This window comes from Homo sapiens, chromosome 2 (genome assembly GCF_000001405.40).
Source record: "Homo sapiens chromosome 2, GRCh38.p14 Primary Assembly".
Taxonomy (NCBI): domain Eukaryota; kingdom Metazoa; phylum Chordata; class Mammalia; order Primates; family Hominidae; genus Homo; species Homo sapiens.
Window position 1 is genome coordinate 163,721,810 of NC_000002.12, and position 17,578 is coordinate 163,739,387.

General features: G+C 35.8%; 1 protein-coding gene and 1 long non-coding RNA gene across 4 annotated transcripts in view, besides 2 other annotated features; both read right to left on the bottom strand.

Annotated features, from left to right (window-relative positions):
* Positions 1-12,132, bottom strand: part of LOC107985957 (uncharacterized) — a 65,994-nt gene extending 53,862 nt beyond the window's left edge. The window contains exon 1 of the long non-coding RNA XR_001739759.2: positions 1-12,132. This exon is cut by the window's left edge and continues 16,507 nt beyond it. This is a non-coding gene — a long non-coding RNA (uncharacterized LOC107985957).
* Positions 1-14,199, bottom strand: part of FIGN (fidgetin, microtubule severing factor) — a 133,398-nt gene extending 119,199 nt beyond the window's left edge. The window contains exons 1-2 of one of the 3 annotated variants that reach the window (NM_018086.4): positions 14,029-14,199; positions 13,094-13,263 (exon numbers count right to left, since the gene is read on the bottom strand). In NM_018086.4, coding sequence (NP_060556.2) covers positions 13,094-13,118 — 25 coding nt within the window. In that variant the 5' untranslated portion in view covers positions 13,119-13,263; positions 14,029-14,199. Of the gene's footprint in view, positions 1-13,093; positions 13,264-14,028 lie in introns of those variants that run through there. The other 2 variants (NM_001321825.2, XM_047444863.1) reach the window with 2 other exon arrangements.
* Positions 14,806-15,322: an enhancer, noted in NCBI's record as "H3K27ac hESC enhancer chr2:164593125-164593641 (GRCh37/hg19 assembly coordinates)". NCBI's record gives its function as "activates a minimal SCP1, AML or CMV promoter by ChIP-STARR-seq in primed H9 embryonic stem cells {active_cell/tissue: H9 hESC(primed)}" and the evidence as "EXISTENCE:reporter gene assay evidence [ECO:0000049][PMID:30033119]".
* Positions 15,323-15,838: an enhancer, noted in NCBI's record as "H3K27ac hESC enhancer chr2:164593642-164594157 (GRCh37/hg19 assembly coordinates)". NCBI's record gives its function as "activates a minimal SCP1, AML or CMV promoter by ChIP-STARR-seq in primed H9 embryonic stem cells {active_cell/tissue: H9 hESC(primed)}" and the evidence as "EXISTENCE:reporter gene assay evidence [ECO:0000049][PMID:30033119]".

Genomic DNA, 17,578 nt, shown 5'->3' on the forward strand with positions numbered 1-17,578 from the left:
TAAAATTGTGTTTTTAAAAGAATGACAATAGAGTCTTTGTTTTTTTCTGGGTTATTTAACGAAATAATGTGAGCAAATGCTTTTCTCTGGTACATCTTTAGGTTTAAAAACACAAATATGAAATATAAATCTTGTCAAATACTGTTGCCTAACTCATTATAATTTAACATTTGATCAAATTGAATTTGCCTTAGAAATACTGTAATGCTATTTATTGTAACATTCACGGCAGATTTGAGAAAGTAGCTGACCCTTCCACGAGCACACAAACCCAACTGGTAAAGCTATTGAACACCTAAAAGAGCTATTGGGTGAAATCCCAGCTAAATTGTTTACTGCCCAGTATTCAGTACAAAATAAATTAATAGACACTATTTAGTTAGATAAAGGTCCCAATTAAAATATTAACCAAAGACATTCACGAATTAAGTTATCGTATCAACTGTAGATCAACTAGTTTGCATCTCACATTTTACCACCCCAGTATCATCATGTTTCCAAGGAAATCTGTCTTGAATACTGATAGTGCACATATTTGCAAACTGCCTATTTATCAGAGAAAGGACAAAATAGAAAGAAATGCCTTAGGAGGTACTTATTTCCCACGTTCAACCAAAGGCAGAATGACCAACTGTCAATCAACTCTATATTGGTAAGAAGTCAATCTGGAAGTCTCAGAGTCTAATATTTTATGATTTCTGTACCCTCAAATTTTTCTGTCTGCAAACACATGAGAAAAAAATATTTCATGGAGAATAGTGATTTAAAGCTATTTGTTACACCTATAATCAAAGTAGTCTATAGATTTATGTTTTATAAGATTTTAAAGATAGCATAATGTTTTTTATAAAAGAGTTTAAAGGCTCTCCTATCTAGAGATACAAAAATAGAATTAATGACTGTAAGCTCCTTTTTAAGTATATAATTATAAAACTATTTTTCAGGGTTATAAAGTCTTTCTTTGGTAATAACATTATATAAAGAATATAGAAATTTCAATTTTTTAATGAAATATACAATTTTCATAGATCCATTCTTTAAATATTTAAAAATCATCTTTTAATTTTTTAAAATAAGATTAATAAAATATTAACTGGCCGGGCATGGTGGCTCACGCCTGTAATCCCAGCACATTGAGAGGCAGAGGCGGGCGGATCATGAGGTCAGGAGATCGAGACCATCCCGGCTAACACGGTGAAACCCTGTCTCTCCTAAAAAATACAAAAAAATTAGCCGAGCGTGGTGGTGGCAGACGCCTGTAGTCCCAGCTGCTGGGGAGGCTGAGGCAGGAGAATGGCGTGAACCCGGGAGGTGGAGCTTGCAGTGAGCCGAGATCGCGCCACTACACTCCAGCCTGGGTGACAGAGCAAGACTCCGTCTCAAAAATAATAATAATAATAAAATAATAAAATAAAATAAAATATTAACCAAGTGATAGTTTCCTATGCTTTTATCAATTCAATTCACCAAACATTTATTGAATTCCTATTATAGGTCTTATGCTATACACACATGTTGAGGAGATAAAAAATAAAAATGAATTAGATGTGTGTGCTCTCAAGCAATTTACAGCTTCATAATAGAGAAACACAAATGCCTAGCAATCTATAGTAGGAGAAAGATGATGGTAAGTGATCTAAAGGAGACATTTCAAATGTTCTAAGGGACAATTAAGTAGACGTCGAAATCAATCCTAATTAGGGTGCCTCAAAGAAGGCTTCATGGATGATGCAACAACTGACCTGGATACCAAAGTCCTAGTAGGATTTCAACAAGCGAAGAAGAACATGCCAGGAAGCAAAAAGAAGGTGGACAAAGACTAGTTGCTGATAAAGTACAGGAAAAAAGTATTGCTTTCAGTTTGATAAAAGTCCACCTTTCATACTAAATATTTTAAGGATTTGAGGTTTCTAACTCCACTGCTTAAGTTAATCTGATTGCCACTCTATTGAAATCTCTTACAAGAGAAAAGCATTAGCTAACTAATACCCATCAACTCTTAAGATATTAGAATTGCTGACACTTTTGCATGCAACCAATTAGTAAGCATATTTAATGAATGCTTATCATCTCTTCTGATGGGCTTAACAAAGTAATAAATGGTCCTTGAGCTTTCTACATTGTTTCCAAGATAATTTTTGGAGCTTTCTTAAGAGAAACAAAAATATTTTGCATCTTTTAGACGACTAGCAAGGTCCAAGTTACTTGAGTTCACTGGTCCATGACAAAGCAGTCATGGAGTATACAAAACTGCAAGAAATCTTAGTCATCATCGGATCACCTCAATCATCTCTTCTTTTATAAAAAAGTAAACTAAAAACTAAGGCTCAGTGAGGTTGAATGGCTTACCCAAGGTAACAAAATGATCTTCGACTGTGGGCTTCTGCTGACACTGTCCTTCATCATCGTTACTTTCCTGAGATGTTCTTGCAAGACTGACAGAAATGTTTTCAAAAGTCTAGATAGGTTGTTGAACTTCAGCCGGATGATGAGCTATCTGTACATGTCATTAGTATATTCAGTTCTGAATAGATATCTTCATTTTTCTAACTTCAAACCAGGAAGAATGACATTTTTTTAAAAGGTAAAAATTTTAAGATCTCTTGATATATATAAATGTTTGGTTTACATTAGAATCATCTGAGGAGTTTAAAATCTCATCTAACTGATCTGGTGTAGGGCTTAGGCAAAAGTTTTTTTATTATTTATTTATTTATTTTGCTTGTTTGGGGCTTTAGTTTGGTCAGGAAGTTATAGCAAGCATTTACTGAGTTGATACAAAATTTAACATCAAATTTTTCTAAAACCAATTCAAAGTATTCAATGATTTCAACTTCCATAATGGCAGTAAACACATTAGTTTCCAAAAGAAGCCTTAAAGGACATATACCTCCATCTTCAATGGATTTTATTCTGTCACTTCATTTGTGGCCTAAAAACTTGAGTATGTTAAGAGAGAATAAAAGAGTCTGAGAATAAGTTGAACCATCTTTAAAGGCATATATATATGTTTTCACACTTTTTAAAATTATGGGGACGAAAAGATACGGAGAATATAATTTGTTAAAATAGTGCTACATGCTATTTACTGATTATTAGTCAATGATTCTTAATAACTGATAAGGTTTTTTTTACATAATTAATATTAGGGTTTAATTTACAAAATTGCCAATATCATTCTGTGTAACAACCACATGAAAACAGTCTTTAATGTTAGCTTTGCCTCAATGACTTTCTCGAACTTGTGCCTCCTTCCCCTATTCCTACATGTTGTCCATGACAACAAATGCTGCTTTACTCTTCCCTAATATAAACCCTAATATTATCCTCTTAATTAATTCAAACTACTTCTCATGATCTAAGTATCATATTCCAGTGGCTGAAATGAAATTTGATTTTCCAGATGATCAAGTAATAACCAGTCTTGCAGACAAATATCAAAAATTTTTTAAAAAGAAAGAAAAGAAAAGAAAAAAACAGCTCTTCAAAACGGTACACAGCTAGGTAGGTAGGAAGATGGCTTAGACAGCAAGGTTCTTGGTGAGTATGCCAATAGCAAAATAGCAGAAAACATTTTCCCCTTAGCCCTAAGCAAAGGACACCAACAAGCTGTTAGAAAATAAAGACAATTTTTTTAAAAATTATGTATTTAAGTATACATGTGCATTCCAATCATATATCAGCAACACCTCCCATCTTAGTGACTGTGGCATTTTGCTGTAGTAGGGTAAAATTTCAAGGAACTACCATTACATGGTGGTAAAATTGTAGATTTTTTACCCATGATTATGAACAAACCTATATTATATGTTGTACTGTCCTTACTAGATATCTTTAAAAATAAATAGTACAAAATAGTTTACCTATAAGTTCTTTTTACTTTATGCTAAAACAAAATAAAACAAGACAAAAATTAAAAAAGTAAACAAAAAAGGCATTATTGCACTGTATATGCTCATTTAGAGGCTTATTAAAGAACAAAACATAATAAAGAGCTTTCAATTTTTTTTGTAATACTTTAACTGCCAAAAATTTTATTGATGGAGATTTCACACCCATGTTTTTAAAAAATTACCAAAAGAATTTTGCTTATGTGTAATTTTTTTCACTTTCTAAAGAGATACCAGCTCCAACTGGACATTCATTTCTGAATAAAATTCTACTATCTTACCATCCATGAGTAAATTGATATCGATGATTGGTTGATTAGTACTCTTAGAATTATAGGAAACATATTTTTCCAATTAGGTAACACTTATTGTATTCATAGTATGTTTAAAATCTTCCCACAGAAAGAAAAAGCACTGTTCATATAGGCATGTAAAATTCCAAAGCTGGTAATATTTTTTCCTTCCAGTTTGTCAGACAAGGATACAGGCCATTCAGGGTCCCAATGTCTACATTTGGGTCCTATCAGTATTTCCCTCCCAAAAACGTTGCTTAATCTTCTGAATAATGCAAATGAAAATCTCTCTTTAAAAGAGAACTTTGTACTGACTCTACTGGCATAGGATACCACGATAAGGGCAGGGGGGATAAGACCCACATCTTTTGTAAGTTGGGCCTAAAATTGACTCCAGATTTGCGAGTCATGAACAGAAAGTCAGTTTTAATATAGATGTGCTTTAGAAAGTAAAAATGGTGATTATTCTTAACAAGTTACATATTGGGAATTATTCTTCAAAAATGACTCATAAAATATCTTTTTAAGTACTTAAAGTCATGAATATGTTCTACTCTTTTACCTCTGCTTGAATGTAATTTTTCATTTTCCAGGAAAGGATACATTTTCTAACTAACCCCGTTAACCTAAATACTCATAAAGGAATACCAAAAGTGTCCCTGACATCAATACCTTCACAAAGAAATATATCTATGCACATGCACAAGAACATATTCCATTTAGATAATCAAAACTGTAATTTTTATCTAAAAGATTCCCTTAGATCCATGTAATTCCTAGCAGTAAAATTTATCAAAAGCACTTAGTTTGCAAACAATGAGACTGCCATTATCTATAGCCTTATTTCTTCATCCATATACTTTAATTGAAAAGTACAAACTATTAAGCATAAAAGAATAATAGTACTGTTTATTTCATAGTATTTGTTTGATCTGAAAATGGGGATTGTAATGAAAATGCCTTCAATCTTAAGGGAACCTTTTTTATCCTACTCAGAATAATTATCTTGTAAGATTAAAATCACTGAATCATACCGAATTAAGATTTATAATTTAGCATCATTGAGGTATATTATTTAAAAGAAAGAGTTTACAATCTTCAATTTGAAATTGAAAGGGAAAAGAAATGAACAGATGAAAAATAAAAAAGCTCTTTTTGGCACAACAATATACTATATTGCCACTTATTTACCCAGATTCCTAGTTTAATCATTTTTAAAGCAAAACATTTAATATGAAAATACAAGATTCCAAGTATAGGAGTAAAGCAGGAAAAGATGAGTCCCCGTTGAAATTATACTACAGAATATGGAGATAGAACACAGAACATTAGAAAATGTGAATTGTGGCTAACTACCTACTAAAATATTTCAAGTTTGCAATGGCTTAGTTAAAAAAAAAAAAAATATTCCTAAACTGTGGGGTAAATTTTTACTTAAATGGGACACTGTTATAATAGTTATTTCCCAGCTTTCTTTCATTAAAGTGCCTATCAGTGTGGAGAGCAATGCCTTGTTATTACACAGGGCAAAGATTTTTCTTCTTAGAAAGTCTCATATGTAGCATTTCTCCCGACAAAGTCTAACAAGGCATTCAAAATAAGTTCAATTTTTTTCTTCCTCAAAAATATCTTTAAAGCCCCCCACTTTCACCCCAGTCTTGGATTACATAAAAGAATAGTTACTTTTTCCAAGCTCTTTGATATTTCCCTTCCTGGCAGAGTCATCTGATGTGAGAAATATCTTTTGAAAATAAATGGTGCAACTTCAAGTGCACTCAGATCCATACTTGCTGGACATTCCATCATATCTCAGTTTTGATTTGAAAAAGCCACTTGACTTCAAAATTCAGTTTTAGGTATCGCAATATGAAGTTTGATCTCATTGAGAAGTACTTTGGGAAGCAACGATGTAAATGTTTTGTCCACCTATCAGCACAGAACGTTGGTAAAGGAGTCATATGACTCTAATTTTCAGGGAGAGGGAGGTTATTGCAATACAAATTGAGAAGCTAAGTCCAGGATTTGAATACAGCATACTGCAACATTAGTGTTACCGCATGAAATGGTTACTTTTCCTCTTTAACACAGCTGTCACATGTTTATATAGCTAAAATACCACTTTCTAATGTCCACGTATCAATACTGACACTATTATAACAAGGTTATTTGGGGGTCTGCCCCCCCCTTCCTGTCACTCAATGAGCATACTTTCGTTTTTTTAATGGTCAGCATTTTGTATCAGATAATGTAGGATTTCTACATAAAAATACTCATTTTTCTTGTGCCTTAACCGAGGAGGGATAGTGGCAGTACTTGGCAACAGAGAACCTCCTAAGCTCTTACTACTACAATTATTCTGGGCCTGGGATAAGTATTGAAGTATGTAACTGCATGCAAACCATTAAACACACACACACACACACACACACACACACACACACACACAAAGTTCCTTTTAAGAATACTTGAGCAAAAAGTCACATGATATATAGGAGATATATGAGACACAGGGCAAGATGAGACAAAAGCAAATATTTCAATCCCCAGTTCAGATATAGAAAGAGCAGGAGATACTTAATGGTTCATTTCCCATCAGTTTTCTTACTCAACTCTCATTAGTATCTTTTTCGGCAGAGGCAGATGGAATCATTGTGGAATAGTCAGTCTCCAATAGGAAACCTAGTGACTTCTACAAAGGTGGCCCCAGATAAAAGTCTGTAGGTGGTGAAGGCAGGGCTGGCTTCATTGCCCCATCATTTGTTCAGGCACACAGGCCCCCACCCCACCACACAATACAGGGCCCTGCATTTTGTTTAATGCTGTGTGTTGCTGTCTTCAAATTAATTTTTGAACAAGATGCCTCACATTTTAATTTTGCGCTGGGTCTCAGAAATTATGTAGCTGGTCCTAGGTGAAGGTAAAAATGTCTCTTAATGGTGAGGATAGTAAGTCAAAAGATAAGCAAAAAGTTTAGAACGACATACAGAAACCCACGGCTTCACATTGCACTACCTTTAAAATTTTATCTGAGATGTTACTATTTCCAAGAATAATATTTCATCATGAACTAATGCATGAAAGTAGAGTTTACCCATTCTCAGATGAGTTTACTCTCATAAATAGTTGACATTTAATTATCAGTTGTTTAAAAAGCATCCAGTTGACATAAGGCAAACAGTTGAATTGGGAAAAACAAAATAGGTATATACATACACACATATATATTTCATATATCTACATACACATATGAAATATATATGAAATATATATATAGCTAAAGGGAGTTAAATGCAGTTTCTGTTCTCATGCCAGGAATATATCCATAAGCAAAATGGAATAAGTATGTAAAATACCAGCAGAAATTAAAACATAGCAAAGAAAGAGAGTAAAGGTATTTTCAACATAATGAAATGGGGTAAAAGAAAACATTTTATAGGTATTTTACATTTCATATTCTATAGTATAAAAAACTTTACTGTATATTATATATCCTTAATAACTGTTTGGTTAAAAGCTCCTCTTCCTATGAAAATGAGAACAGAAACCTAGTAAGAAGCAAATTTTCCAAAATTATAAAACATACTTTCTAAAAAACATTTCCCAACACAAAAATACCAATACTTAAGCTGAGCTATAGGGTAAAAAACGTTTAACCTTGGGCCTTCATATAATAAATCATGCATTCTACTTTCAAGATGTAACAGTTTCAAAAATGATTGGAAGCAGTGATACTATAAATGCTTTGTGAAAGTCATGAGAGCTAAAATATGAGCAAACATATCCATTTATACATATATTTAACATAAATACATCTAAATTGAAATTCTCCTTTGGATTTACTGCTTCTGATACACCCTGAAACAACAGCCCACCATATGCAATGTTAAGCAAAGTGTCAATATTCAAATAACAAGACAACAAGCAGATTTGTTGCATAAAATATGTAAATATTATTAACAGAAAGTGCCATATGATATCTCATGTTTTGATGGTTTCTGATCACCTATCTTTTCTGCCTCCTCAGTATCTTAGCTAAGACTACTGTTGTCAACAGGTACTTACGGATGTGCTGTATTGAGGCAGCGCTTCTGAGCAGGCACCTGTGGTGCTGCCCTAAGGAAACTTAGCATACCCCTTGCTTTTGATTTGCTTCGAACTTCAATGTACCATTTATTTTGAGTATATTCTTTCATACTCCTTATTCCTGCTATTTTACTTTTTAAAATAAACATTTCTGAAAGAAAATTGCCATTTAAATGATAACATCAAAAATATCAAAAAGATTAGTAATCAGCAATCATACCAAAGCAGCTATGCTTAAAATTTCTGCCAGAAGTTAAATGAAAAAGTTAATGCTAAAAATTCAAGTTTAGGAAAAAAAGAAGAAAATGACAAAATCCAACCATGGAAAGCACTTGCTAAACTGGCCATTTATTTGCAGTGTGTCAAAAAAATTCTTTCATTTTCAATAAACAATAATATAGGTACAATCTCTCTCTCTTGCTCCGTGTTTGTGTGTGTGTGTGTGTGTGTGTGTGTGTGTGTGAATTGAAAGGCAGAATTTTGGGACTTGTAAGCTTCTAAGTGGTACCCCCAAATAATTTCTAAGTTCAGTTGATTTCAATAAAACACTAGCTCTTGTATATCTCAAAAGAAAGACACATACATTTATTTTTTATTGAGAGTTAAAATTTATAGCTTTTTCTGAACCATTTGTTTATTCTAGTTTATCAATGACTCAAGAAAAACAGCAGATATGCTGATTAATCAAGTTCTATCGATCAGTAGCATATGTCAATATTTCACACAAACATCTGCAGAATAGTTTCTTCCAATCAAAAATTTATAAATCAATTTAAATTCCTGGTAATTAAATTTATTTGCTCTTCAACAATGAACACAGTACTTTATAAAGAGTAGTATGTGAAATCTGCACTCAAGAATATATTGATCAAAGGTAAAATAGCACCTTTCTATTTCTATTAAACCAAGGTTCTAAGAACTAGAAAGTTCAAACCTTAAAAGCCTGCAATTGTTTCAAATACATCTAGTAATTCTGTTGATTTTGGGCCACTAAAAGTGATTACTTAATTAGGCAATCATTCAAGGCATCCAAACACTCACACAGACAAAAACAGGGAAGTATTAGCATGGCTGTCTTCACCTTGACATGAACATTCTGAAAAACAGTGCAGACTCTCAAACTTTGTGGATCTGTCCCTATGAATGTCCTGAGTAAGATACTAAATTCTAAAAGGTGACAACCAGAAGCTCAGGAAAAAATAATTAACCTATAATGAAATTACCCATTTATCTTTTCAGGTGGTTTATATCTTAAACTATCTTAGAAATGCAAAGTAATAATACAGATGGTCTCTATAGATTCTTGGAAATACTACCTATTTTCTTCTCTCTGGTTACACTCTTATATTATCATCTAAAAGTAATTAATGAAATTTCTGCACTCTTGTATATCTATCAGAAGTAACTACCTACAAAAAGGTTTTCAAAGTTCCTGCCTAACATGAATAAAAACAAAAACAAAAAATATTTTCTATTTATGGGAAGGAAAAAAATATCAGCCCTGGAAACTCAGCTACAGGAGTCTTAAATATAACTAAAGAATAAAACCCCCTATTTTCACTCAGAAGATATCAGATACTGTTTTAAGAATCTTACTGATGAAATACAGCCAGGAGAAAGAAAAATACTCTATTTTCAGAAAAAAAAAAAAGATGTTTCTTGAAATAATTCCAAAGAGACCCTATAAACTGTGTTTTTAGGAGAAGAGAAAAGCAAATCAACTCACACATACAGCTTCCAAACAGAAGTCTTACCCTCTTCCAGGAAAACAACAATGAGACTTTATTACCCTGCTATGATTCTTTCATTTCAGACATGATTAATTAGCAAGTATTACACTTCTCAAAACTCCCACCCTACTCTTCCCTGCTTATTTGATGATAGACCCACATGAAATAACAAGTTGCCTCCAGCAGTGTAAGACAAGTATCCAAAAACTCTATTTTAAAGAAGAAACACTTCTTTCCTATCTTTGCCTCCCAAAATGAAGCAGGCTGCTTCTAACTGCTTTCACAATTTTGTTTCAACTTGGTCATTTTCCTAACAATACCTTTTCAATTTTAAATAATGCATACAACATATTCATTATTCAAGAACACATAGCATGTTTAATCTGATACCTCTATTTTTAAGCTGAAATTCCAAAGGACTTATGTGTCCATGCAGTTTATATTGATAACCATAAACATGCACAATTAATAAACAATAGAGACGATGTGTACAAGCATGTTTTGGGACATGGTTTTTGTAGAAATAATGTTTCTTTTCCAAATAAAAGCTAATTTGTCACAAATATAATGAAGATAAGAAACAAGCATGAAGGAGTAAAAGAGAGGAAGAACAGAAGAGGATAACTAAAATTTGAATGAAAAACTCTTGACTCTCTACATATTCTTCCAAAATAATCTTTCAAAATAATTTTCCTTTTGAACAATCTGTGTTCAAAACGTCCATTCCATGTGCACCAAGAAGCCAGCCATCACTAAATATATTATAAATGTATATTCTAACAATCATCAATTTATAAAGTCTGGGATTTCCCCTTCAACCTTTCAACTGTTACGTCCAGAAAACTTCACACATAGTGAAATCCTAATAAATAGATCTTGTTGGTTCCAGGAAACATTTTTAAAAATCTATACTGGTCAAAATATCCTTGCTTTTTTTCTGTTGTATTAAATTTAGGATCAAAAACATCAAAGCAGCTTCCACCTCGGACCTAACTTTTAGAGGATCAATGTGACAAGGCAGTCCCTGATAGATGTTTCTCTTGATAAACGACTTGTTCAAAAGAGACATTGTAGCTTTCATTTCCTGACCACAACACACTTTTAATTTGCAACAGCAGAGCTGCCAGAGTGTGAGCACTTGCCCACTTTCTAGTCTTTTAGGTTTGTAGCTCTGGTTCCTTTAGGCCGCACATTTGAGACAAACAAAATCTAAAAATAATCAGAGTAAAGAATTAGAAAACAAGAGCCAGTAACGCCACTTTATACATATACACAAGTGTCTACTTTATATATATGTATGTAAACTTTCACCCCTAGAATTCTAATATATGATAACAAGGCTCCTAAGTTAACATCATTTGCACATCGGACATTTAAACATAGGGAAATGAATTATGTGACTATTATTTAATAGTAAGCAGAGACTTAAGAGGGGGGCAATTTACACACTCAAATCTGCTGTTAAATGTCATGAATTATATAATTGCCTATGCCAGTATGTTTTTCATGAATTATTGCAATGATTATTATTAGTACTACCTAGAAATCACATTTAAGTATCAATACGGTGAACAGTCAAACCATCCAATTTCTGCTCTCAGCACATTGTCCGAGCTCCGATTTAAAATTTATAAATGTAATATCCTCCTCATCACAGGCAGCAGCCCAATCTGCTCTGAATATATATTACAGCTTTAACATCACAGAGGGAAATCGCCCATCTGGCAATCCCATTCGCTCCAACAGCTCCGGGGGAAAAAAAGCTGTGCTCTCTCCTCCTTAAAACATTTCTCAGGGCAAATTATGTGCATCTAAAATAAACAGTCTTCTTATTGATCGCTTCAAAGTCAACAAGTTCCAAATGCAAAATTCAATCAAATCTTTCCTATCGTGTAAGTGTGGTGTGTATTTAGCTCAATAGTCACCAGAGTCCAACCAGACGTGTATGTCGCGCAACGGGTCTTGTAGTTCCTCTCTTCGTATTCACATTTGTGTTAGGAGAGAGCAGTGACCACGGCCACACTACAGACCCCTGGCAGCTTTGCCCCACTGTTATTTCTTTTTTCATATTCTCTCTTTCCTTCTTTCTCTCTTTTCAGGAGGAATTAACGGTCATGGGGTAAACATAGCAACAACCAAAAAAAAAAAAAAAAAAAACAGTCTAAAGTGGACATATCCTTTGGTTATGCAAAATACTTTAACATCTTTTTGTTGTTGTTGTTCCCTCTGTCTTAATTGAATATTACAAAGTGTACACAGGGCACTGCCACAAGAGCTATTGAAAATCCCCTCTCACTCCATTTAACTGACTTTTTTTTTTTGTAAAGAAAGGAAAGAGCGATTTCAAACGAAGTCAATTTCAGTGCCTGATTATTTAATTCTGTCACAAGTTAAAAGTAAAAAGCGCTGACAGGCAGACGAGTGAATGGAAAGGGGGAAGAAAAACCTATCCCTACTCTTTAAAAGACATCAAGGACTTTGGACAATCAAAATATAATTTTTATTTTCATGTAAAAGACACCTCTTCACTTACCCGCCCCCCCCAAAAAAAAACCACACTCAGAAGAACTGATTACTCCACAAAGTGCAAACATCAAGAGCAGATAGTCAAACTGCATTAATAGATTGAGAAAAATAAAATTTTCATCCAGTCCTGTTCCTGTGTGTGTACATATATATAGATACACTTTCATTAGTTAGTAATCTTTCCCAACACTCCTGCCCTCTCCCCTTTGCCCAGCCTCCCTCCTTCAAAAAAAAAAAAAAAAAAAACCCACACTGAGTTTAACTAATTTACATACTATTTGACTTCAGCAGTTATATATATATAGTGCATTACTAGTAACGTGCAACTTCTGGATGACAGCTAAAACCGATAAAAGTGGATTCAAGTAATATATTAATCAAAACTGCAATATACAAACAAGTGATAGCAAAAGAAAAAAAAGCATGGTGACATTAAACATATATTTTTTAAAAAAAGGAATTCTATATCATGAGCAACTGCTTGCCAGGCAGTCTTCAATGGTTTTATCATGCTATTTCATTTGTCTTTCCTATTTAGATGCAAAGGAAGTAAATTCCAAAACTGACATACCATAAACACTGGTGCTACTGATCATTTCTTGCTGGCAGCACAAAAAGCTGAATTGGATTTCTCACAAGCAGGAATTCCAAAGGTTGCTTTTCATTAAAGCCACTTTTCCTCTCAGCTATCAAATGTCACTGCCTTGAAACGTGGGCCCTTTCGTCAGGTATTCATTTAACCTACATGCATATAATTAAGGGGGAAAGCAACATCAACAAAAAGGGGATCTCAGATCACAGGAGAAGAAAGAAAGGAAAAAAAGCACATGACCAGGAATGCAAGTCCATGTCAATTTCACTCACTCCCATTGAAACTAACAAGAGCTCCGGGGAGGACGGTAATAGGATCAGTGGATTGTATATACCATTAAATTATACATCTTTCTCTCCCGTTCCTTGCCAACAATACGCCCACCACGCTGTACCCCCTCCTAGATGATGTGCTTACATTTTTCTGCAACCGATCTTCTGACATTTTCTCGTTCCCCCAGCCACGAGATTGTAATTTAACCTCAACTTTTTGTGTGTGTGCAAGATTCTTATTTACACTTCTTATTTACTTAGAAGTTAGTTCCCGAAGAAAGTCTAGCCCCACCCTATGGCTCCGCTTTCTTATTTTTTTATTTTTGAAGTAAAAAGATAGTAATAAGTAAGCCCAATATAGCGAAAAGCGAGATTCTTGCAATCGCGAACTCTTAATCCCATACTATTGTTACAATGATTAAGCAGCAAAAATATGCATTATAATGTTTCAGGGCTACTTTGAACAGAGAAATTAGACAGCAGGTTGGCGTACAGAATAGAAACGAGTGGAAATTGAATTTAATGTTTACGGCACAACTGAAGATCTCTTTTAATTACAGGTCTTGGATGTATTTATATTCTTTAAAAATAAAACAAAAACAAATTTAAACAGATGGTAGAAAACTACGAAGCTCCTCTTACCTGAACGCGCGGAGAGAGAACCCGATAGGTTAGCGTAGCATCGATCCGATGTGTTTGCTGATGAATGGAAGCTAGGGTTAAGTGAAGGTGCCTATGATTTGAAATCATTCCAAGTTTTTGAAGGGAAGACGGACTGCAGCCTCTGCCATGTTGGAATTTCAAACCCAAAACAGCTGCTTGGAAGGAGCCAGCATGCCAGAGGCTGGGCGCAGGCGCAGAGCGCCGCAGAGCCAAATTCAAATCACTTTCACACTAAGAGCCAAAGATCAGTTTTCAAAGGAGAGAGGGAGAAAGAGACGGAGGCTGCCGTGAGGGAGAGAAGACGGGAGGCAGTGGCGAGAGGCGGGCAGTGGAGAGAGACGGGCAGCGGGAGGACCAGGAGGGAGAGGGAGAGGCGCACGGAGCCCGCGGAGCTGGAGGGGGAGAAAGGGAGGCGGGAGGCGAGCCGGCGAGCGAGCTAGAGACGCGCCAGAGATTCATGGGCAGGGAGGGCTCAATGGCCGCGCCGCGCCGGCCGGCCGGCCGCTCGGGTCATGTTACACGGCCGGGGCCGCGGCGGCCGCCCAGCCTCGCCGATGCGCTCACGCGGCCCGGAGGGGGCCCCGAGGTCATGATTACGCGCGCGGGGACTCGCAGCTCTCCCTGCACGCACTCTCTGGCGGCCCAGCCTGGGGAAAGGGGAGCAGCGCCGTAGGGGGAAGGGGGCTTTCTTTCCCACGCGTGACCAGCCGGCCCCTGCGCTCCCCGGCCTGCGTTGGAGGGCCCGGGACAGAGCCGCGCTGCTCCCCGGCCCGCGGGCTCTTCCCTGCCGGTTCCCGGCCCTCTCGACAGCTGCGGCCCGTCCGCCCTTCCCCACCCCCTCTGCGCACGGGACGGGATCTGGTCTCGAGAGCCTGGACCTCACCGGCACCCTCCCCGGGGCCCCCAGCACCAGCCAGAAAACGACTTGATCTGCTTAGAAGAGGCAACTTCGGGGAGAAAATTCGCGTTCGCCCAGTTCCCCTCCCCCGCCTCCCTGTGAATAAATAAAATCCTAAGTGTCTAGGTGTGCGGTCCCCTCTCGCGCTCCCTGGCTCCCCTCCCTACCTCCCCCAGGCGGCTCGGGCTGGAGAAAGCAGCGCCCGGGGGGCCCTGGTGTCGGCGGCTGGTGCGCAGGCATAGACGTTAGGCTTCTGCCTTCCCAACCCCCCTCTATGGAGTAATCTGGGGACCCAGGAGTGGGAAGAGAGTAGGGGCTTTGTGGTGCTGGGAGCCGAGGAAGAATGAAATGTGCAGTTGAGTGTGTTGCTCGCATCCCAGGGAGCAATGCAGTGCTGATTGTCTGTTGCTGAGATAGCCTTTTGTTCGGAACATAAGGTTTAAGAAACACACACACGTTTTCTGGGGTCTCTTGTTAGATGTAAATGTGCGGCATCCAGACGCTTACTATGCAGTGTAAGCTCAGTTGGTTTACTAATCACCCCGCCCCACCCGCAAACAATCAGGATCATTTGAATGGGAACCTCATTCAGACTTCTAGGCTGAGAGTATTGCCTTCAACCTATTTCATTCTAGACTAGCCAACCATCCAACTGAGATAATAAAGCAAACAATAACATTTGATCATGATGTCTACGAGATAATGTGCCCGGCAAAGTTCTTTAGGAATTGTAATGAGAAAGAGAGTGAATTGGGTCATAATTTCTCTTCGTTTTCATTAAATATGACTTTAATAGATAAATGGTGAGTTTATACTTTGGCCTGGTAGACATCCAGTCTTCTATATTTCAACGAAGCTAAGAATGAAAGAGGCAAATTATATATTCCACCAGGAGCCCATCAAGCTGAAAATGTTACCTTTGAAGGTTGGAACCGAAAATGCACTTGCTGAGGACTGACCCTCCTCATAAGGGTGTTCACATTTCCCCCAGCTTCTCTGTTGTAGATTTGATAGCCTAAATTGCAGCTCTCCAGATGCTGAAATGCAGCTCTTTAAAAATGCCAAATATATACTTTGAAATTAATTCCATTCACCTTTTATGATGTTCTTACCTTTGAATGGATGCCTTTAGCTAACACACTGAGAAATAAAAATTATTTCAGTTAAATCTAGGCAGATGACAGAATTTAAAAGACAAAAAAAGAGTGATTCGAGATCCTAAGAAATATTTCTAAGCAATGAGATTTCTATTTGGAATGGATTTGACCTTTCTGTGAATTTTTTAAAAAAGGAGTCTTCGAAATAAAACAGAAGAACTTTATTCTGATGTAACAGAGAACACTGAAACCTCTTTAGTTATATTTTACAAGATGGCTTTGAAAATGATATTACGAAAAGTTGTTCATTGGATTTTACCACAAAGAAATAAGTGTAGGGAAATATCTGTGGGTCACTGTTGGATTGAGTACAGATGAATTAAAAAAAAAAAAAAAAACTGTGAAGCGCTCATAATCGCAGTTATTGCCCATTTGGGGAATGACGACCAAAAGTCCTCTGGACACACAGCAGATGCTCTGTGCAATTCGGGCAAAACTGCTCTGTTCTTGTTTGTTAAAAAAGTTCAGAGCTCATCAACCTTTAACATTAAATCCTAGCGTTGAATTTACAGTTCCTTGTGTAAATTCAAATAGTGAATAAAATATATAATACAGTGCCCACTGAATATAAAAACAATGTATTTTGATGACAGACTTAAAGCCATTCATCTGTAATATCTAAAATAAAACAACCCCTGCTCTTTAAAAAGAGGAGGAAAAAGTGTGGTCAGCAAGAGTTTATTAATAGATAATAACTGTACCTTTCCAATTCCCTTATAGATTCATTTGAAATACACATTATAAAAAAATCATTCAACATGCAAATAAATATAATTAACTTTGGAATCAAATAATTGGAAAACTGTTCAAAAGAGCACTGGATAGAGGTACAGAGTTTCTAAATTGTTCAAAATTACATATACTCTGGGAATAAAAGACACTTACATAATAGAATATACATTATGGGACTTCCATAATAATAAGATACACAGGAGAGTTCGTCATTGCACTATTTCTCCCTTTTTTTTTAAGTATAGGTAAAAGTTGCTTTTCTCCAATTATTTTAAGCAAAGGAAAATAAAACTTGACTTTCTTTTCCACAGAGATTCATGGCATTGTTTGCGATGTTCAGTTTTTGTTGTTTTAATAAAACTATCTTTAATTATGTGGTATGATTAAAAAGCACTTTAACAGTCATCATATTCTGTATGCATTTATCTTCAAAACTTTTAATCAAAAGAAATGTTTCTGGCTGTAGCTGACATCCATCTCTATAATATCTTTTGAAACTTCTTGATATAACATGAGAATTAAATATTGAGTGTTTAAAGGAAGTTGATTGGCTAGTCAGGGAAACAGTTATTTCAGAAAATAATAAATTTGACTAATTTTTCCCACTCTATTAGCAATATCATTTCTCTTTCTATTTTACTTTTTAAATGCACAGACATTATAATGCATAACATTTTGACTAATATGTGAAATTCTAATACACAGTATACTCAAACTTGTGCTTTTTAAGAAAATCAGAAGA